The following is a 23,743-nucleotide window of genomic DNA, read 5'->3' on the forward strand; positions in this document are numbered from 1 at the left end:
AGACCCATGCTCTGTTGACTCCTGCTCCTTTGTATTTCTCTCTTGCTCTGTCTCTCTCTCGCTCTCTCTCTCTCTCTGTTTCTCTCTCTCTCTCTTTTTCTCTCAGCTTTTAGGCTCTTTATATGGCATTTTGAAAATTCATATTTTCTGTTAGAGTGTTTTTTTCTCCTTGATTATGCTGAACATTCAACAGATCATTTTAGTCTGGAAACTTATATTCTTTGAACATGTCTTTTTGTTTGTGGGTTTGTTTCTAAAAATGTCCTCTCTCTCTCTCCCTCATTTCCTCTCTTCTCTTTTTCTAAACATCTTTTATTTTTTGGATCTCCTGGATTTTCTTTATTTTTCTCTTCCATTTCAGTCTCTAGGTTAATTTGATCTAATTTCTAGACTTTCCTCAACTCTGTCTTGTAACTTTCTGGTTAAGAGTTATTTCTGTTCTCTTATTTTTAATTTCTGTGATCTTGTTCTCTGAAACTCCTTGTTTTACAACCTTCTGTTATTGTTTTATGAATGTAGTATTCTGTCTTACATCTCAAAGCATTTTCATCATGAGGATATTTTTTGTTTTCCTTCTACACTACGCCTTGCATTCATTTCTTCTGAGTTCCTTCTGATTTGCTTAGTTCAAATTCTGTCTCATGTTAAAAATATTTCTTCAGATGTCTTATGTCCTTGGCTGTCTATTTATATTCAAGAGTGAGGCACTCAAATGCTGATTGAAAGCTCTGTCACTGTCTTTTCTGCTAGTTGATCTCACTATTGATTGATCAGGTATGCCCAGGCCCTTTTGTAAGGAGACCCCAAGTGGTAATACCTTTAGATCTTTTCTCTTGGGTGGATTGTTTTACTCAGAGAGGAATACTTAGAACTCCTGCCTTGGACAGATAAACCTAACTACCAGCATTCCAGGAAGCTGAATGGAAGAAGGGGAATAAGAGGCCTCAGTAAATTGGCTTTAACTCAACCTCACCATCAATTTTATCTGATGACTCTGAGTCTAGAGACTCTCTTGTACGACTTCTCCAGAGAGGAAAGCTTCATTCCTGCACTAAAGTCATAGATAGATACCTGAGTATGTAGACTTGTAAAGGGCATCTGGTAGGTCCTATTCTATTATTCTAATGCTGAGTGCACATTAATCTCCTCGGAAACATTTTTTAAAACTGATGCCTAGACCCTCTCCTGAACCATTACCTCTGAGTTTCTGGAGTGAGGTCCTGACCTGCATATTTTTTAACTCTTCTAGATGAAACTGATGCATACTGAGGATTGGGAACCATGAATCCAACTGCATCTTATAACAACTTTTAACTGTTTCTCCTATTGCCAGCCAGTGTCTTAGCTTGGGCTGCCATAACAAAATATCATGGACTGGGTTTAAACAACAGAAATTTATTTTCTCACAGTTCTGGAGGCTAGAAAACTAAGATCAGCATTCTGGCCAACTTGATTTTCAGTAAGGGCTCTTTTCCTGGCTTGCAGATGGCCGCCTTCTCACTATGTCCTCACATGGCCTTTCTTCTGTGCATGCATGGAGAGACAGTGTTCTCTAGTGTCTCTTCTCTTTTTTTTTTGAGACAGAGTCTCGTTCTGTCACCCAGGCTGGAGTGCAGTGGCGCAATCTCCGCTCACTGCAAGCTCCACCTCCCGAGTTCATGCCATTCTCCTGCCTCAGCCTCCCGAGTAGCTGGGACTACAGGTGCCCACCACCACGCCTGGCTAATTTTTTTGTATTTTTAGTAGAGACAGGGTTCCACTGTGTTAGCCAGGATGGTCTCAATCTCCTGACCTTGTGATCCACCTGCCTCGGCCTCCCAAAGTGCTGGGATTACAGGCATGAGCCACCTCACCCGGCCTGGTGTCTCTTCTTATAAGGCCAGTAATCCTATCAGATTAGGACCATGCCCTTATGACCTCATTTAACCTTACTTGTCTCCTAAAGGCCCTATCTACAAATACAGTCACACTGGGTATTGGGCTTCAACATATGAGTTTGGGGAAAACACAATTCAATTTCCATAGCACACAATCTATAACAGAAAACTTCAGACTCTATTGCCTCTGACTTCTGATTCTTTCTGAAAATCACTTTGCTTCTTGGTTTTTCTCCAGCAGAGTTTTCACTTTCTCTGCACTGCTAAGTCATTTATCATGTGCCCCGTTGCTTTTCCAGCTTCCTCAATTTTGTAAACATTGTTTGTCCACTTTGGGTTTTTTTGTTTTTTTGTTTTGTTTTGAGAATGAGTCTCACTCTGTCACCCAGGCTGGAGTGCAATGGCACAATCTTGGCTCACTGCAAGTTCCACCGCCCAGGTTCACGCCATTCTCCTGCCTCAGCCTCCCAAGTAGCTGGGACTACAGGCGTCTGCCACCACACCCGGCTAATTTTTTGTATTTTTAGTAGAGATGGGGTTTCACTGTGTTAGCCAGGATGGTCTCAATCTCCTGACCTTGTGATCCGCCCACCTCGGCCTCCCAAATAGCTGGGATTACAGGCGTGAGCCACTGCGCCTGGCCTTTATTTGACTCTTTATGGTCATGTCAGTGGAGTTTTCGGAGGAAGTAGAAATAAATTAAGTGTTTGATCTGTAAGTTTACCTGGTATTCCTCAAGAATGACATTGTTAAACTGCAACCTTTATTATGACTCTCCCTAACTAAAACCCTTCAACTTCTTCCCATGACACACAGAAAGAACTTTCAAACTTTTAAACCAGAACACCCATAGTGGCAGAGAATTAACATGTGTATTCGTAAGTGTCTGGGATGGAGTCCAAAAGACTCAACCACTTGCATAAAATTTCTTTGAAATCTCACATTTTATTTTTTAAATATATGCAGATTTTGCCCCTGTTCCATAATGGATCTGTTTGTTTTAATATAAGAATATTATTTTAAATTACTTGGCATTTAAATTGCTTCCCTTTACTTTCTTTCTTCAATCTTCAAGTCAAATTGATGCTTTGAAAAACTGATCAATTTATCTCATTACTTTGTGTATCCATGAGACACATACAGTTTAAGAGGCACAGCCCTTATTCTTAAGGTGCCTTAGTCCTATTGAGTCCTCAAAACTGGGCCCAGTAGCTGGCTTCTAGAAGATAATATACTTAACAAGTGTTTGATGAATCAACTGAACTGAATAATCTTGTAGGAAGGGTATTATTTGGATGGGGAGTAGGGAGATAGGCATTTCCAGTAGATCATTTAGCTAAACCAAGCTCTAGAGGGAGGAATGAACACATTGACTAGTGAGTGTCTGCTCTAGATGGTACCCCAGGCTGGAAGTTTTTCCAAATGCTCTTATCTGATCTTTTGCCCTGAGATTCCAGGGTAGCTGTGTCCCTGAATGAGCCTTTCACTGAAATAGCTTCACCCTAACACTCAACTCCATAGACCATCCCCCAACCCCATGGTCTCATCTGCTCCTCACCCACCTCTCCTCATTATTCCTGGGATGATTAAATCTATGCTACATGTCCAAGCCAATGCTAGAAGCTACATGCTTGGAAGTAGGGCTGATCTTACACTAAGGGACATAGTCAGATGTTCCAACTTCAAGCACTCTCCTTTCAATTCCTTTCTTTTCTACTCATTCCTCTCAACAAAACTCTAACTGCCGAAGAAATATGAGTGGGATTGGATTAATTAGTGGAGGAAGATCGGGCATAGTGGCTCATGCCTGTAATCCCAGCATTTTGGGAGGCCAAGGCGGGTGGATCACCTGAGGTCAGGAGTTCAAGGCCAGCCTGGCCAACATGGTGAAACCCCCGTCTCTACTAAAAATACAAAAATTAGTCAGGCGTGGTGGCACACACCTGGAATCCCAGCTACTCAGGAGGCTGAGGCAGGAGAATTACTTGAACCCGGGAGGCGGAGGTTGCAGTGAGCTGAGATTGTACCACTGCACTCCAGCCTAAGCAACAGAGCTAGACTCCATCTCAAAAAAAAAAAAAAAAAAAAAAATGGAGGAAGAGCATTCTAAATTTCTTAGGTAGAATTTCTGAAATTAGAGCTCATGGTAGGCAAGAAAATGATATATGTAATGGAAATCTTTAGAAGTAATAATAATAGAGGATACACATTAACTCATTTGATCCTCACAACCCTATAAAGTAGCTACTATATTATTCCCACTTTACGGATCAGGAACCTGAAGCCCAGAAGTCACACAGTGAGCAAATGCTGGAGCTGAGTGTGAGCTTAGATGCACCTGGTTCCAGAGTTAGGCTCTTACTCATTATCTACCTCCCGGGATAGAAATGTAGCATCCATCTCTACAGCTCCCAGGCTCTGAGATTTCACCTGCCAAGAAAATTTCAAAATAATTTGGGGGAGGGTAGATAATCACAAAATTGCCAAGTTTATATTTTGCCAAATAAGCACATTAAAAATAAATCCCATTATCACTATCATTTCATTTTTTAAATGACTTGTTAACACCGCAAGATGGGAAGAAGATAATCTCAGGATAAAAGCAGAAACTTAAAGGGAATAAATTTAGACTTATGAAAAATAGGACAGCCTCAACATTTTCCCCATTTTGCTGAAGACCAGTGGAAATTATCTGGGACCTACTGTGATCCTTTTACAGCATTTGGAGCCAGAGATTAGCTCTTCTAATCTCTGTGTTCTCAGGACACAGAGCTGAGTCTCTAGGCTGACATGGAGTGGAAGGTGGGGAGACAGACCCCCAGCTTCAACCCTGGGAACATCACAAGGAGCGAAAACCTGTGTCTGCTCCTATCCAAGGCATTCTCCATTCTAACCAGGCTTTCCACACTCCCTTCAACTCAAAATATTCCTGGGTCAAGGGCAGTCAGTATGTAGGGGGAGGTGGGCGAAGAGATGGGGAGAGAAAAATTAAATCAATGAAGCCAGTGTTCTGAGTGGGCTGCAGACAGCAAAGGTCTAAAATTGCCTGAGACAGAGGAGGACAAACACAATTTGCTCCAGGTGATTGAGAAAACAGTGGGGCTTGAGGTTCTCATTTTTTTTTTTTTTTTTTTAAGACGGAGTCTCACTCTATCACCAGACTGGAGTGCAGTGGTTCGATCTTGGCTCAATGCAATCTCCACCTCCCAAGTTCAAGCGATTCCCCTGCCTCAGCCTTCTGAGTAGCTGGGATTACAGGTGCCCACCACCACACCAGGCTAATTTTTGTATTTTTAGTAGAGACAGGGTTTCACCATATTGGCAAGGATGGTCTTGATTTTCTGACCTTGTGATCCACCTGCCTCGGCCTTCCAAAGTGCTGGGATTACAGGCGTAAGCCACCACCCCCCACCAAGGTTCTCATTCTTGTGCAGATTGTTCCTTTCTCAGTCTACTGTGTCATCAAGGATATATTCAGGCACTGAATAGTTAAAGGCAAGGATCTGGTCCTGACCATTTTATCTCCAAAGTATTTTTCACGTTTTTCCCCCAGCTGCGTCCCTGACTCTGACCCTCATCATCTCTTTGTTGGACCACTGAAGTAGCTTTGCTCCATGTCCCCATAGCCTGTCCGTCTTTCTCCAGACTAAATTTTCAGAAATGCAAACCTGTGATTCGCCTCCTCCCATCAGTATCTTCTCCCTTGTCACCCAAGGAATGAAGTTGAGCTCTCCCACTCAGCACACACAGCAACTCCAGCACATCACACACACACACACGCACATGCACCACACTGCACCACACACACACAAACACACAGTGTATGGCAGATGCACCTGACAGCAATAACTTAAACATACCCTGAGACTGGCCCTGTGGTCTAAGAAGAGTGCTGGTTTTGGAGTTCCAAGCTAAGAAATCCAGGAGTGGCCAGCCTGGAGCCTCATTCCTTATCTATGAGGGTCATCTAAACCCTTGGCCCATTCCTTGGAATGCAGGGCACACAGGGCATCAAGGCCCTTTATTTAGGGTTAAATGGAGGTTGCTAGGTTGAGGTTCCCGGGTAGAGGATACTAAGTGAAAATGCTATGTAAACTGCATGCTTTTTACAAACAGTAGCAGTTCTCCTGTCCAGCCCACTGCCACTAGTCTGCCCATATGTAAGGCTTCAATAAACCCTATGTCTCATTCACTGGCTCCAGGTCTCTTCTTTGGCCTCTCTGACATGGTTCCATCCCTACTGGAGTGAGTAGGGGTCTGACACAACACACATACACACAGGAACACTGCCCCAGCACACACACACACACACACACTACACACACACATACAGAAAGCCATACTTATCCACAACATCCTATCCCACTCTTTGCCTTAAATTCAATACTCCAGAAACATAGAACTTCCTCTAGATCACTGAACAAGCGCCCCTGGGCCTTTGCACATGCTGTTCTCTCTGAATATTGCCCTCTCCCTTTTCCACCTAATTCTATTCACCCTTGCAGGCCTCACTCAGGTCTCAGCTTCTCAAGGAGCCCATCTGAGATCCCCTTCTGGCCACCACCTCTCACGTAGTCTGGGACACGTGGATGTGCCTGCATGCCTTGTCATGATGGCCTCTGTGATGGTTAATACCAAGTCTCAACTTTGAAGGATGCAAAATATTGATTCTGGGTGTCTCTGTGAGGGTGTTGCCAAAGGAGATTAACATTTGAGTCAGTGGGCCAGGAAAGGCAGGCCCACCCTTAATCTGGGTGTGCACCATCTAATCAGCTGCCAGTGTGGTTAGAATATAAAGAAGGCAGAAAAACGAGAAAAGACGAGACTGGCCTAGCCTCCCAGCCTACATCTTTCTCCTGTGCTGGATGCTTCCTGGCTTCAAACACTGGACTCCAAGCTCTTCAGTTTTGGGACTTGGACTGGCTCTCCTTGCTCCTCAGCTTGCAGACAGCCTATTGTGGGACCTTGTGATGGTGTGAGTTAATACTTAATAAACTCCCCTTTATATATATATATATATATATATATATATATACGTATCCTATTAGTTCTATCGCTCTAGAGAACCCTAATACAGTCACTGTGCTCTGCTGAAGTCATGTGTCCACTGCTTCCTCCTTGGGGTCAAAGGTCATAGCGTACTTAGTTTTGCACTCTCAATGCCAGCACAGCACCTGGCACAGAGTAAGAACTTGAATAGATTTTTTGAACTGTATACTTGGATTTAGGGATATGGCCCCTGTCCCCAGGAGCTTGTAAATTGGCTGGAAGGATGATACACCCACAGGCATGAAACATTCTAAGACAAAATACAGTGCTAGATTCAAAATAACCAAGAGATAGAACACACGATGTTCCCAGCAATTAGAAGGAAAAAACAATGTGAGCTGACATTGCTAAGAGGTTTCCTGGAGGACTGAAGAGGAAGAAATGCCGTGACAATTCCTCAGCTCCCCAGGACGGGCTCTTTCTGACCCCACTGCCCTGCACCTTGCCCCATGCCTCTGTCAGGCTGGCCTCAAACCCCCAACGAACCACGGAAGATGCAAAATCACACAACAGCAACAGCATCAGGAAGTTCCACGTTTAATACTTAACAACACAGGAATTTTCCAACTAACTCCGGAAGATGTAAAATCACACAACAGCAACAGCATCAGGAAGTTCCACGTTTAATACTTAACAACACAGGAGTTTTCCAAGGGCCGGGTTATTGAACTTGAAATAGGTAAATGAATGGCATGTATTTATCTGCAGGCAGCAAAGATAGGATGCAACTCTTCCAGGAGGCTGGGGGATGGAGGAGGCGGTTCCAGGGATCTGTTAGGAGAAGCCCTCTCAACAGAACTCAGAGGGTAGAGAGCTTCAGGAGTGGGCATCCCCTCCAAAAGGCTCCAATGTGCATAGGGAGGTGTGAGGAAAAGCATCCACTATCTTGCAATAACAATGGAAAATGAGTGCAAGAAACATTCAGCTCAAAGACTCCCATCCAATACCCAGGTTGGCTCAGCTCTGCGCAAGAACTCCAAGCAAACCGAAGATTTCATAGCCAAAAGCCAGAAGAGCTCCTCAGCCAAGAGGCTTCTGGGAGTGCAGGGGCCTAGGAATTGGGGACCACAAGAAACCAGGCAGAGGGCAGAGGAGAGAAGGGGCTACCCCAAGTCAAGGAGGGAAGCTGAGGCACCAGCAGCCTGGACTTCTAGCCACATGGGTTGGGAGATCCCCTGTAGTCTGATGTTTCATGGGTGGGGCTTCTGGGGTATGGTTTTCTAAGAATCTGTGAGCTTCAGAGACCACATCAAGGAAGAGCCCCCCCAGGAGTGATTGGTTATTATCCCACACTCTCGGCTCCATCCCATGGTTGCTATGAAAATGCCCAAATGCCCTGAGGCAAGTGGGTTTCAAAGCACAGCCATACAAGGCCCAGGGAGTAGCAGCCAGTCACCTGCCAAAACCCTGCTCTGCTGTTGCCCTTCCAGATTCACGTAAAGCCTTGGAAGGTCAGATTTCATATGATGCCACCCCACATGCTTCCCCCACTGCAGCCCAATAAGGTGGCCTTGTTTGAGCAGAGAAAGGACTTCCCAGCCTAGCAGTTCTCTGAGCTTCATTCTCTTCCTGAAATGCTACTGGCCTCAGGCACTGAATCATTCTGGTCTCCCTTGTGCAAACCCAAGCCAACCCTCGCCTTCGCTATTTGAATGAGGTTGCAGAGACCACAGCTAGCTGCATGCAAAGGATGCAGGAGGTGGGGAGGTGGGAAGAATTCTGCTCCATCCAGCTCCCCCAATATGCACGTCCTCCCTCCCAGGAAGCTATTGCCTCAAGTCTTCTTGATATTGTTTGACGCTGAAACAGTGCTTTGTAGAAATGCTTGGAATGACAAGGATGAGAGAGAGGGAATGCAGAGATAGATGGCTCTAAAAGTCCATTCCCAAAGAGCCTTTTGATCATTCTCTTGGCTCTCAGCTCCTTCACCCTTCTCTTTTTCTGTCTATCCCCTCCCCTATTCCTCATCCCCCATTCCGCTCTCAGACCAGGACCACAATTTGTATGCACAATCCTTCCCCCTTTCCGTGGCTGTGAAAAGGATGAATTACCTTCTTGATCTCAACGTGATGGCCCTGTCCAAGCACCCCTTCACCTGCTGTGTCCGTAATTGAAGTGTGGTCTCTGAATCTGCAGCTGTCACAGAGGACTTGACAAAGAGACCAGAGCAGGGTCCTGCACATACCAGGCTCTCCTTGGTTGCCTTGAGCACAGAAGAATGCAATTTTCCACACCCTGCACAGGTGGAAGGCCACACGACGTTCTCAGTCACTGGAAGTGCTCTTTAACTGGGAGCAAAATATTAGCAAAGATGCCCCCAGACTTGCTTTCAGCTGCCCCTCATCCCAGCTCCTGCCTAAGAAAATTCTGGAAGACTGAAAGAAGCCATGCTTGTCTTCCAAGTCTGAGAAACCCTTGGCAGCCTTAGCATTGGCCTGTCCTATGCCTCAGTTTCCCCACTTGTGATGTAGTTACTCCAGCAGAAAATCCATCAACAAGCAAATAACTGAAAATGAGGACAGGACATCCCAAAACCTCAGGTGGGAGGCTTTGCCTCATCTCCCATGCCTTTGCCTCCCCATCTCCTATGGGCTGACTACAGAGACTTCCCTCCTCCACTCCCTGCCCAGGTCCTGAACTAATCCTGAGACAGGAAGCTTGTACGTTGGCTCAGTTTCTTTCTCCCCACTATAAAGTTTTCTTCCTTGGTTCCAACTCCTAAATCCAAAAATGGATACTAAGCAGGAGTTTCCTGGCCTCTGTCAGTCCTAGAGTTTGCCCACAGCCCCACAGTCAGCTAGGCTCCACTGTCTTCCACAGCAGTGCTTCCTGACAGCTTTTGACCAGGGCCCAGGCTGAAGCCTGGGCTCTCATCCACCCCTAGGGTCTGTGCTGCCACAACGGAGCCTCCACTCCTAGCGCACAGCCTCCTCCCTACACAGCTGTGTGTGCAAGAGAGACTGTGGTTTGGTTTCCCCATATCTGTCCCTCTATCACGGGCAGCTCTCATGCCAGGCACAGCCCTGTGCCCATCCCTGCTTACCCCATGAGGTCATGAGCAGATCAACACACATCATAGCGGGTTTAGGCCTAGGATGGTTGGAAGACTAAGTGAGACAATCTCAGTAAAACTCCTATACAAGAAAATGCCAGGGCCGGGCATGGTGGCTCACGCCTGTAATCCCAGCACTTTGGGAGGCTGAGGCAGGCAGATCACTTGAGGTCAGGAGTTCGAGACCAGCCTGGCCAACATGGTGAAACCCCGTGTCTACTAAAAATACAAAAATTAACTGGGCGTGATGGTGTGTGCCTGTAATCCCAGCTACTCTGGAGGCTAAGGCAGGAGAATCACTTGAACCCGGGTGGCAGAGATTGCAGTGAGCTGAGATTGCACCACTGCACTCCAGCCTGGGTGACAGAGCAAGACTCTGTCTCAAAAAACAGAAAAAAGAAAAAAAAATGCCGACCATTTGTACCCATGGTTTCTGGTCTATCACATCTTCACTCTCTTTTACCCTTTTTACCCTGATCACATGAAATAAAAATATATATATATATTAATGGTAAGGAAGCATCTTGAGCTTAGAGGGAGCAAGACATGCTCTGGTGTGTGTCTAGCCAGAATGTCTTAGCCCGTGGGGACAAATGCTCACTGACATTCAACGTACAAAGAGCAATGACTCTGAGCCCCAGCCTGCTTAATCACAGGACATCTTATCTTTTCAAGTCTCCAGATATTCCTAAGGTCCTCAGGAATTACACCCACGTGTCCAGCACTTCCCAGTTCCAGTGGGCACCCCTCGCATGGTGCTCTAGGGGTTGGCATCCCAGAGCAGCAACTCTGCAGCATCTGGGTTATATCAAAGTTCACCATCCAAGGATGGACTGAGAACACCCATCACGGTGCTGAGCTTATAACCCAGGCCAGTGGGCCCAGAATAGCTTCTCTGTCTGAGATTCAGTGCTGATCCATCCTCCATATCCTGGGTGCCCAGATCCAGGGCTTCTCATTTAAAAGGGACAGTGATAACTCTTCCAGTCCTTAGGCCTTTGTGCTAATTTTTCTATAGCAGGGTAGTCTGTGCCTCAGTTTCCACTTCCAGCCCAAAGGGAAGATCAAACCTCATGCTCTTGCGTCCTCTGTTTCTATTTTCCTGAAAGCAGCTCCCAACCTCCCCAAACTCTCACCATCATGACCATGTATACACTGACATCATTGTGTGTATAAGAAAAAGCAAGAATTCAGGCAAAGTAAAATATAATATTTGCCACTCAGCTTGTCCCTCATTCACTGAAGCCCTGCCAAGAACCATGCGCCCCCACAATCACCAGTAGTAAAATGTTCCTAAAAAGAACATTTATCTTTCCAGGCTTTACCTCTGCGTTGAGTCAACACTGCCGCCTCCCACCCCTACCTGGTTCCCCAGCGTGGGTGGAACTGAAGGGGCCATTCAGGGGGTCTTGCAGAACAAAGGATTAATCTTCTCCAAAATAATGTTAAAGTTTTCATCTATAGCTAGGAAACAAATGCAAGCAATTTTCCAATGATAAATTTCCTGGCTTCTACACTCAAATTGTAAAAGTCTTAAAGCCATGGCACCCACTTCCATGTGACACTTGTAAATTTCCAGACCATGATGAGAGTCATGGGTAGAAAGGGCACCACAGAGGAGACTCAAGCTCCAGCCCCAGCCCTTTCTCTAACTGGCTTCGGGTAAGAACACTGTCCAGGTTCCTCATCTGTGAGTCGAGGGGATTCAGCTAGATTTCTAAGGATTGCAGAGCTCCAATATTCTAGCGTTGCGCTATCATTCATGATAAGTAATTATAACTAAGACAGGATTTGGCCTTGACACCAGCATCTGAAGCATACATGAGATATCTCTGTTATTCTTTCCCAAAGCAGAAATGGTGCTCTGTTCTTGCAGAGGATCAGGAAGAGATGGCAGTGAGCCAACAGATGTTCCTGGAGTATCTACTGCATGCCAGACCACGTGCTGGGTGCTGGGGTACACAGTGACCAGAGAAGACATGATCAGCATAGAACTGACAACCAAAGAAGTTATGGCTTTCAGGGATCTTTCAATTGGTAGGAGAAACTTACACTAAATAAATGCATATAGCCATAGGTTACGGAATGCATCGCATCCCCCTCAAATTAATTTGTTGAGGCCCTAAGCCCAATGTGACTGTATTTGGAGATAGGGCCTTTGGGGAGGTAATTAAGGTTAAATGAGGTCATATGACTGGTGTCCTTATAAGAATAGGAAGAAAGACCAGAGCTTGCTATCTCTGCATGTACAAAGAAAAGGGGTTATGAGAGCACACAGAGAAAAGGCAGCCATCTGCAAGCAAGAAAGAGAGCTGTCACCAGAAACCACATATGCTGGCACCTTGATCGTGAACTTATGGTTTCCAAAAGTATGAGAAAAATCAATGTTTTTCAGTTACCCAATCTGCAGTATTTTGTTATGGCAGCCCAAGCTGACCAATACACCATGTTTCATCAAATCCAGGACACTATTGACCTTGTGACACACCATTGTCTTATGTCTACTGAAAAAAAAAAAAGGGGGGGGCCCTGCCAATTAAACACAATTACTTCTTATCACTTAGAACTCTTACACTTATTGAAAAACTCTTTTAGAATCATTTAGTTTTGTGTTGCTCTTATACAGGCAAAAAGGGGAATAAAAGCAAAATAAATTAATTACACTGTCCCTAAAACTTCTTATTCAGTGTCAAAGGCTTCTGAATCACTTTCCAACTCAGACTTGAAAATGGCACCACGGATGGATGATGGATGAGGCTGTATTTTCTAAAAGTTTGCTCCACTATTGCTTCCAAGACTTTCTTCCAAGTTCTTGACATTCATCATACAAACGGATGTTGATGCTTCCATGCTTGCCTGTGATACACAATTCTTGCACACTAATGTAACTGTAACATAGCTTGATCTCCTTGTGGACTCTTTCTTTCTTTGTCCTTATATTAATCTGCTCAGGCTGCCATAACAAAATGCCACAGCCTGGGTGGCTTAAACAACAGAGCTTTATTTTGTCACAATTCTGGGGAATGAAGTTCAAGATCAAGGTACAGGCAGCTTTGGTTTCTCCTGAGGCCTCTCTCCTTGGCTTGCAAATGACCACCTTCCTGCTGCATCCTTACATGGCCTTTCCTCTGTGCTCACACATCCCTTGTGTCTCTTGTTGCAAGGACACCAGTCATGTTGGATGAGGGCTCTATCCATATGACCTTATTTAACCTTAATTACCTCCCTCAAAGGCCCTCTTTTCAAATACAGTCACATTGGGGGTTAGAGCTCCAACATGTGACTTTAAGGGGGACACAATTCAGGCTACAACAGTCTTGTAAAGCATTTTGTTGTCACTTTGCAAGAGAATAGTGATCTTATCTTTCGAATAATAAAAAATTTGCTTTGCTTGCTAGCATCAAATTGATACCCTGCTATTCCGTTTTCTTTCTATATAAACTTTTTGTTTCGGTACCAAATTAGAGTGATATTGTTTTTTAAGAGGTATTCTAAATATAAACTAAACCCCAGATATGCAATGTCAATCATGCACCTAACTCCACTGGAGGGACGACAACATAAGTACCCATGACCAAGTCTGTGCATGCTCAGACAATGATCACAGCAGTCAATGTGGCTGTCCAGCCCACAGCATCATAAGATAGCATTTAAAAGTGAGACACATCCCCCTTTCAGAAATGTTAAATGTGGGGAAATGTGTGTGTGTTTTAGATGAAATATGGTAAAATAAATAAATAAATAAATTAGGATATCCATGTAATTCTTGTGCAGTTTGAGTTTTTAATAAATTTGCTTCTATATAATATATAAGCAAATTGCAAAGTGTGACAGAAAATGAATTTACTGAAGATTTCAATGACATTTTTAATGATTTATTTGTTCTAATTTCTTTCTTTAATTTTCTAGGTAATAAACCCTTCTGTATACAGAATGGTTCTATCCAAATATATCTAAAATGATGCTGGATATGTCGAAAGCCAACATTTCTGTAATTAAATATAGTAAATTATGATTAAATTTCCTCTATTTTCCATCTAGCAGTTTGTATTACAGAAATAAATGTATTAAAATTCCTAACAGCATACAAACCTTAGGGTAACCCTGTATAGTATTAAGTGATTGATTACAAGTCTACAGAATGCTGGGATGAACAGGGTTGCCCTTAAGAAAGAATTTCTCAAGCTGAGACCCAGAAGGTGAGTTAGGAGTCAGCCAGGGAGAAGGGATATTCCAAGGAGAAGGAACAGCATGCACAGGGGCCTGGAGAGAGAAACTAGGGAGGAGGCAGACAGACTTGAAGTTGAGGGCGAGGGAGGGGGGAACGACAGGGCACAGAGCAGAGATACAGGCAGAGGCCTTCCTGGGCCCACCTCACCACTTCTAGGCACATCCCAGAGTGCAAGAAGGTTGCTCACTGCTTCAGTTTTTATAACAGCAAAAGATTACAAACAATCTCAACGTTTCATCCATAAGGGGCTGGTTAAAGAAACTACGGTTCACCCAAACAGAAATTTTTAGAAAGTTCCAAAAAAAACCAACATGGAACTCTTTATTGCTATGCAGTGATCTCCAAGACAAATTAAGTGCTAGATGCAAAAGGTGCTAGATAGAAAGTGCTGGATGCAAAACAGTGAGTATGATACGATATAATTTGTGTTAAAAAATTAATTTACACATGCTTATATGTGCTAGACTATTTCTTGAAGGATACACAAGAAATTAAAAGGGCTGGTTACCTCCAGAGAAGGGTATTAGGTGGCTGGGGATGGGGTGGGAGGGAGAATTTCAATGGTCTGCCATTGAATCTTTTCAGACCTGCAGGAGGAGGAGGGGGAAGAAGAAAGATGTTTTAAGTGGAAGGGCAGCTCATGTAAGACTGTGGCTCTGTTTGTGGGAAGGCTTGCATGTGGACAGGTAATGATGAAGCTCCTCCATGTTCCTTCAGCTTCCTGCAGGATCCTGTCTGTCTGGTATTGTTTTTCTGCTGTTTCACACAGAGATGCTCTTTGAGAAAGATCATAAACTCCTCAAGGGCAGGAATCTTCAAGTGCAAGTTCAGAGCCCCCACAGTGCCTAACACACACGTGAAACACAGCAAAGTTGTCTTAATTCCAGCCGCCAGGTGTGCTGACTCACTTGACCCCCCAGCCCCCACCCCACACGAAGCAGCCTCTAGAGTCTGCCCCAAACCCAAATGCTGCATAATCAAGCTGGAGGAATTCCCTCCTCCTAGAAATTCCAGCCCAGTCTCAGAGGCCGCATTAGAACTGCTCTTTGTGGTTAAAATGACTTTCACAGGCACCAAGGGGAAGGGTTTCCAAACTGAGGGTTCACAATCCACCAGTAAGTTGTGAAATCAATTTGGTGATCCAACAAGCCTTTTTTAAAAAGAATGAGGGCCTGGCGAGGTGGATCACACCTGTAATTCCAGGACTTTGAGAGGCCAAGGTGAAGATTGTTTGAGGACAGGAGTTCAAGACCAGTCTCAGCAACACAGCAAGACCCCATCTCTATAAAAAAATTTTAAAAAATTACCCAGGTGTAATGGCCCATGCTTATAGTTCCTGATACTGGGGAGGCTGAGGCAGAAGGATCGCTTGAGCCCAGGAGTTTGAGGCTGCAGTGATCTAAGATCGCACCACTACACTCCAGCCTGGGTGAAAGGAGACCCTGTCTCTTAAAAAAAAAGAATGGAAATTTTCAAAAGTCAGAATATATCACACACTAGTAAAAATAAGTATTATTTTGTGAAAATGTTTAATTTCAAATATGTGTGTGGATAGTGGGTCATCGGTAAAATATATTTATTACCGTGGGTTGCAGCCAAAAGTGTTTGAAAGGCAGTGGCCTAGAGGAGTGAGTGAGCAAATGGCTCCAGAGTTGAGCAAAGCTTAGTTCAAACCCCACATCTATGATTTTGTCTCCCTGGCAGGTGACTTAACCTCCTCTCATGGTACAATGGAGACAGTAGCAACGCCCACCTCATGGGACGGTTGCAAGGTGCTTAGGCTTAGCTTGAAATCTTGGCTTAACACTTGATAAATGGTTAGCACTCAAGAAACATTCATTATCACTATCACAACCAAGAAATATGCCCTTCGTCTTGCTCAAGAATCTCTGGCACCAAAGCAAACAATAGACTTGGTCGTGGCCTGTGTTCCTGGCTGCCCCATGGCTCTTCTGCCTGGCAGCTTCTGCCCAGTGTCCTCCTTCTCACTCCACAGGGAGCAATTGGCTCCACAGCTTCCTGCCTCTTCACCATCAAAGGGGCTGGGTGACCAGAAAGGCGCATTTCAATTCAGGGGAGAACATTACTTTACTCTAATAGGACATTTGCTATCCCAGCCCCCTTTCAGCATTGGTTCCAGGGAAATAGATGGTCCCAGCCACTGTAATTCCTTCGTGATATATTTAAAGAGGAAGATGATGAAGGAAATAATGGCAGTCGATCTGTGGTTGGAAAGAATATATGATGTGCATGCCCCGTCCAAAATTAATGATGAATCAATATCTGAGAGGCAGAGAAAGTGCTTTATTAGGACCTTTGACAAAAAGGACAATTAGGACCTTGAGACAAAAATCTCAAGGCCCACCTCCCTCTCTCTCTCATACTTCCCAAACCAACTGCCAACCCTGTGTGCCCAGCTCAGGTACAGGTCAAGAGAGATGGGCACAGCTGAAAGCCTGAGGGTATTGGAGAGACCAACAGATGTTTCCCCTCGGGTTAGGACCACACCCAGTGGCTCTGGGTCAGGAAGCACTGGGATGCCTTCTCAGGTGTGTCAGCTTAGTTTGCAGAGCTGAGTGTGGGCCACAGGGGCGAGCCACCTGTTACTAACGATGCCCATTAAGAACCTACAATGTAACCAGATGTCAAGTTTCATGCAGCCGCTTCCTTTGCCCTCATTTCATGGTCCCAGTCTGATATGGTTTGGCTCTGTGTCCCCACCCAAATATCATCTTGAATTGTAATCCTCATAATCCTCACATATCGAGGGAGGAGCCTGGTGGGAGGTGATTGGATCGTGGGAGCAGTTTTCCGCATGCTGTTCTCATGACAGTGAGTTCTTATGAGACTTGATGGTTTTACAAGTGTTTGACAGCTCCTCCTTCACGTGCGCTGTCTCTCCTGCTGCCTTGTGAAGAAGGTGCCAGCTTCCCTTTCTGCCATGATTGTAAGTTTCCTGAGGCCTCCCCAGCCATATGGAACTGTGAGTCAATTAAACCTCTTTTCATTATAAATTACCCAGTCTTGGTTGTTTCTTTATAGCAGTGTGAAAATGGACTAATATACAGTTTCTGTAAGAATACTGGGAGAGGATCTTAGGCAGCTGTGGCTGCTATGGCCCACTGGTAGGGGCTCATCTTATGAGTAAAGAAATTCAGATGTAGAGTTGTTGAATGCATAAAACTAGACTGGAACTAGGACCCAATTCCCAAGCTGCTGCCGGTTCCACAGTCTCACAGACACAAGTTGGGAAGAGCACAAAGTGATGGGCACACGTAAGGTGGCATTACCATCAAGGGAAGCGAAAGCAGTAAGAGCTAGAATGATTGGTCAGAGCAGTGAGGAAGAGAACAGGACTGTAAAGAGAGAGGAGCCAGAGACAGGCTTGATTAGAAACTCAGGACTGAATTTGGTGCTTGAGCCAGTACCTTAAATTCCAAGGTCAGAAGGCTTTGTGTGGATCTGAGGGGTCATGGACATTTGCATTCCTGCTGCTTGCCGCCCCAGCAGCTGGCCTGATTTCCATTTCTAACAGTGGCACTTGCTGTGGAGGTACAGTATATTATGGACTAATTAAGGCTGTTAATGATAGTGGCAATCCATTAAGTGATCTACGGTATTATTCTGATCTTTCTCTGTCACCTCCTTTCATCAGGCCATTAAGGTGACAAGCTTCATAGAACACACTAATCTCCCCTCTGTCAGTCCCTTGGTGTTTTTTTCCCTGGAAGAGCTACGGACTCTCTCGGGATGAGTCATCCGAGGATACAGCTGAAGGGCTGGACTCACCAAGCTCCTCCTCCACCCTCAGTCTCTTCCACTCAGAACACCTGGGCTCATGGGAAGTCTCTTTTGTATTCCCTCCCTGTTATGGACTGAATGTTTCTGGCTCCCTAAATTTCCTATGTTGAATCCCTAATCTCCGATGTGGTGGTATTTGGAGATGGGGCCTTTGGTAGCTGTTTAGGTTTAGATACGGTCATGACAGCAGGGTCCCAGTGATGGAATTAGTGTCCTTATGAGAAGAGGAAGAGAGACCAGAGTGCTCTCTCTGCCCTGTGAGGACACAGTGAGGATGGTGGCCATGTGCAAGCCAGCAAGAGGGCCCTCACCAGGAACCAATCCTACTGATACCTTGCTCTTGGCCTTCCTAGCCCCCAGAACTTTGGGAAATCAATGCCTGTTGTTTAGGCCACTCAGTCTGAGCCCTACTGGTGGGCTCATCTTATGAAAGAGGATATTTGAGATGTAGAGTTGTTGAATGCATGAAACTAGGCTGGAACTAGGACCCAATTCCCAAGCCACTGCCAGTTCCACAGTCTCACAGACACACGGCCACACATACGAACACACACTGTCATACACTCACAAACACATGCTATCATATACACACACATGCATTCACACGTACACCAACATACACACACATGCAGTCACACACATATACAAACACACGCTGTCATACACTCACAAATACCCACATGCTATCATATACACACATACACTCACACATACACCAACATACACACATACACGCAGTCACACACATATACATTCACAAACACATGCTGTCATACATTCACAAACACCCACATGCTATCATATACACGCATATACACTCACACATACACTGACTTACACACATGCAGTCACACATATATATACATTCACAAACCCACAGTCATACATTCACAAACACCCACATGCTATCATATACACACATATACACTCACACATACACTGACATACACACAGACATGCAGTCACACATATATATACATTCACAAACCCACACTGTCATACATTCACAAACACCCACATGCTATCATATACACACATATACACTCACACATACACTGACATACACACACACATGCAGTCATGCACATATACACTCTCAAGCACACACTGTCATACAATCACACTATCATACACATATGCACTCACACACTTACATACACAGTCACACATATACTCACATGTATATTCATGAACACACACTTCCATACACTCAAAAACACATGCTATCATATACACACGTACACTCACATACTCACACATATGCAGTCACACACATGCATATACATTCACAAACACATGCTGTTATCCACTCACAAACACCCACATGCTATCATACACACATACACACTCATACACTCACATACACACAGTCACACATATACTCACATACACACTCACAAACACACACAGTCACAATATACTCACATACATTCACACAAGCAATTACACACATACATATACACTCACAAACACTATCATATACACACATATACACACACAGTCACACACATACACATACACTCAAAATATACACTCATAAACACACACTATCATATACACACATACACTCACACACATCCACATTCTTCCATATATACTCACGAACACACACTGTCATACACTCACACTCATACACTTACATACACATTCACACACAGTCACATATATACTCACATAAACACTCATGAACACACAGTCATATACCCACAAACACACATATACTCACACACACACAGTCATATATATACTCACATATACACTCATGCACACACACAAACTCACAAACTCAGTGTCATATACACATATACACACATATGCACTCACACATACACTCACGTACACACACACTTATGCATACATTCAGTCACACATATACTCATGTACACTGTGTCACACACACATATGCATACACTTACACACTCACACATCGTGTATGTCCTTCTAAGCACAGAAACGCTTTCCATTTCCAACAGTATCAATAATTCCTGATTACTGAGACTAGTGACTTACAGAACCTTCCCTTTTTCCAACTCTTACCAATTTTTCAGTGACATAAAATATAGAATTTGGCCATTTCCCATGGGGCTTCAGCCAAGGGACATCACTAAGAGCTGTATCTCAGCTTTCCTCTGCCTTCACACTCTCAACAGTAATGCTGCTCAGTATCCCCAGTGATCCCTAATGAGGGGGCTCCTCCGCCCAATGCTTTTTACCTTTTCGGGGTAATTAAAGCAGAAGCATTCAAGGTTTCAGTCCCCATGTTCCCTCCTCAATCCAGCTCCAGAGGGGAAATACTGGTCTGATTGGGCTGTGTCCCAAAACGCTGGGCCACGCTACTAGTGGGCAAGATCTCCATGCATTAAGGTCTCCATGTGGTCTGCATCTCATGATTAGACTGGGGTTCTGGAATGCATTGAAACTCATCTCACAATTAGACTGGGGTTCTGGAATGCATAACCCCAGTCTAATCATGAGAATCCACCAGACAGACCCAAATTGAGGGGGATTCTACAAAATACACGACCCGCACTCTTCTAAGGTGTCAAGGTCATGAAAAACAAGACTGGAAAACCAACACAGACTGGAGGAGACTAAGAAGACCTGACAACTAAATGCCATGTGGGACCCTGGAGGGGACCCGGGAACAGTAGTAGAAGAGCTGGTGACATCTGAATGAAGTCTGTAATTTGGGTAACAGTACTGTACCAATGTTAATTTCCCTGCTCTGCCAATGCGATGAGGGGTATGTAAAAGGTTAACATTAGGGGAGGCTGGTGAAGAATACATAGGAACTGTCTACTGTCTTGACAACTTTTCTGTATATCTAAAGTTCCTTCCAACTAAAACATTTAACTACAAAAAAAAAAAAAAAAAAAAAAAAAAAAAAAAAAAGCCAGGCCTAGCCTATATTACAATGTTCACTGAGAACATGCTGCTAGCACAGACCTGGTGGTGAGTTGCTCAGGGAACGTATGCACTGTAGTCATGCACTTGCTGGTACTGTTTATTAGGTGCAGACATCCCAGATAAGAGCTGAGTTACAAGCATCCAAATCAATGACATTTTAATAAATAGTTTACATATATATATATGCACACATGCACACACACAGATGGCAATAAGAGATTTAGTCTAAGATCTGTGCAAAAACGAGTTTGCCTAGCAAAACAAATTAACATGTTGGGTTTTAAACTGTTGATATTTGGCATATAAACCATTGGAGTTTTGTTTTTTCTATTACAACCATAAAAATAGTTTTTGGATAAAATTCGAATCACTTCTGCAGAGAGAAAAGACCTGGGTCCCACAGAACAGTTAGAGAATCACTAATGCAGTCCTTTTATTTTATAGATGGGAGTCCAGACAGGCTTAACCAAGGTCACATAGCAAGTTAGGATGAGAACCTAGGTCTCCTGGTTTCTGGTTCTGAGCTCTCTGAACCTGATGAGTGAAGGACAGCTCCAGCAATGGAGCCTGAATCCCCAGACAGCCTGGTACATCACTGCAAAACAGGCAAGGCCAGGTTGGCTGGGGCAGCCGAGAGCACACGGTCCCATAGCTCATGCAGATAGGGCTGGTCAGGAAGAACACAATGGCAACTCTGAAGAGCGAGTGTCAGGCAGCAGCTCTCTAAGGAGGCCACCACAGTCCGCAGGAGGGATTGGATGGGGGATAGGGTGTGAGGCAGCTGGTGAGTGAAAGACCACCTCCAAGAGCATGGAAGAAAACTCCAGGTCTCTGCAAGAGAAGGGAACAGAAGTGCCAACACCTGGGTCCAGCTGCTCTATTGAGCTGCCTTTGTTGAAGGACTGAGTTGAACAGCAGATCTTGCCGAGGCTGCCGCTTCCTGCCATTCACACTGTCCCAGAGAAACCTTCCCTGAGCATCATGCAGTTTTCCTTTCTAGATAACTGTTATTCATAGGTAAGATTATCTGGCTCATTTGTTTAGCTGTTTAGTGTCTGCTTTCCCCCATTCAAACGTCAGCAACTTGTCTGTTTTGTTCAAGGCTGAATCCCAGCCCATAGAATAGTGCTTGGCACATAGTAGGCACTCAATAAATAGCTATTGTATAGATGAGTAAATGGACTCTTCCCATACCCGATGTGTCTCTGACCTTGTATTTTTCTACATCAGAGCTATTCCTAGATGCATCTCAGAGTCTGTTTGTCAAGAAGCAGAGGCTTTGATGGAAAAGCACTTTGCTGAGAACATCTCAGGCAGCGTTTTTCTTCTGCTTCATTTTCTCTTCCTAATGTGTGACAGGACGGCACCACTGGCTGCAAGCCATCCTGAGACCATGCTGCTTCCCTCCCAGGACTGTCACATCCACCGCATCTGGTTTACAAGCCAAACACTGATATCCTGTCCTTGGGTAAACCCCAACATTCCTGTCAGATGGTTTCACTGTCTTAGGAATTCAGTACTTAGAAGGATATTGAAAGTATAGCCCAAGGCTAAATGAGACTTGGAATTTCCTTAATTGAATTGGGGACTTCAGCACCACAGACAGATGTTTTTGGCATAGTCTACTTGATGCAGCCCTCATAAACAAGCATCACACACAAACTGTCAGAGTTCTAAGTCCCTGCTACTTATGACCTTGGACACGAGTACTGCCATCTTTCCTCCAGATTAAGAATGAAAGAAAGACACTCAAGAATAACGAACTAAGGGACTTGCCTTACCAGATTTCAAGATTTATTAGGTAGACCCATATTCTTGATACAGAAGTGGCTTTTGGGTCACTGGGGATAGGATTAATTTAAATAAATGGTGCCAAGACAATTGTCTATCCACACAAAGATATTCCACTGGATATCCCAATGGGATATCCAGGGAAATGTGTGAATCACTATTCTTATCTCACATAAAAATAAATTCCAGGTGCACTGAAGACTTAAATACAAAAAGCAAAAAACTTTAAAACATTTAGAAGATAAGAAAGGAGAGTATTTTTACAAACTCAAAATCAAAAAGGGACACAAAAAGAAAAGATTGATACATGTCGACTACTCTAAAATCAAGAACTTCCATTCAAAAAGAAAGAAGAATTTTGAGGTATCAAAAGATACCATTAAATAAGTGAATAGCAACTGGAGAAAACATTGAAAGGATATTTAATCACCCAAGGATTATTATCTAGAACACAGAAATAATTCTTAAAAGTCAAAGAAAAGACAAAACCCAAAAGAAAAAGAGCAAAAGGCATGAGAAAGGATGCCACTAAAGAGAGGAAATATGAAAAACAAAATTAAAGAGAGGAAATATGAAGAGAAGTTCAATTTCATTAATAGTCAAGAGAATATAAATTAGAAGCACAATATCATACTCACCATATTGGCAAAAATTAAGAAACTCGAGAATAACAAGTGGTGGTGAGGATGTGGAGACATGGGAATTCTTATGTCAGAAGTATAATTATTTTGTCAGGAGTATATTCAGGCATTTTCGAAAATAATATGGAAACACCTTGAAAGTTAAAATTGCACCTACCGTAGGGTGAGTGATTCCACTCCAGGTACACATCCTACAGAAATTCTTACACATGTGTACCCAGAGACATATGCAAGATATCCACAACCATAATGTTCCCATTAAAAGCCTGAAACAACCTACATGCCCATCAGTGAAAGAGTGCCTACTAAGTCTGGTATCTTCACATAATGGAAAATTAGGTAGCAGTGAAAAGTAAATGTAAATATAGACACAAGGATAATCTTAGAAACATAA

The 23,743-nt window shown here is 43.9% G+C and overlaps 1 protein-coding gene and 1 long non-coding RNA gene across 2 annotated transcripts in view; one reads left to right on the forward strand and one right to left on the reverse strand.

Moving 5' to 3' along the window:
* PLXNA4 (plexin A4) overlaps positions 1-20,398 on the reverse strand; it is a 525,349-nt gene extending 504,951 nt beyond the window's left edge. Inside the window, exons 1-2 of the mRNA NM_181775.4 lie at positions 20,224-20,398; positions 17,638-17,753 (exon numbers count right to left, since the gene is read on the reverse strand). The gene's annotated coding sequence lies outside the window, so the exon portion shown is untranslated. The remainder of the gene's footprint in view (positions 1-17,637; positions 17,754-20,223) is intronic.
* A 105-nt stretch (positions 20,399-20,503) lies between these two features.
* Positions 20,504-23,743, forward strand: part of FLJ40288 (Putative uncharacterized protein) — a 79,976-nt gene continuing 76,736 nt past the window's right edge. Inside the window, exon 1 of the long non-coding RNA NR_046323.1 lies at positions 20,504-20,753. This is a non-coding gene — a long non-coding RNA (Putative uncharacterized protein FLJ40288). The remainder of the gene's footprint in view (positions 20,754-23,743) is intronic.

This window comes from Homo sapiens, chromosome 7 (genome assembly GCF_000001405.40).
Source record: "Homo sapiens chromosome 7, GRCh38.p14 Primary Assembly".
Lineage (NCBI taxonomy): Eukaryota > Metazoa > Chordata > Mammalia > Primates > Hominidae > Homo > Homo sapiens.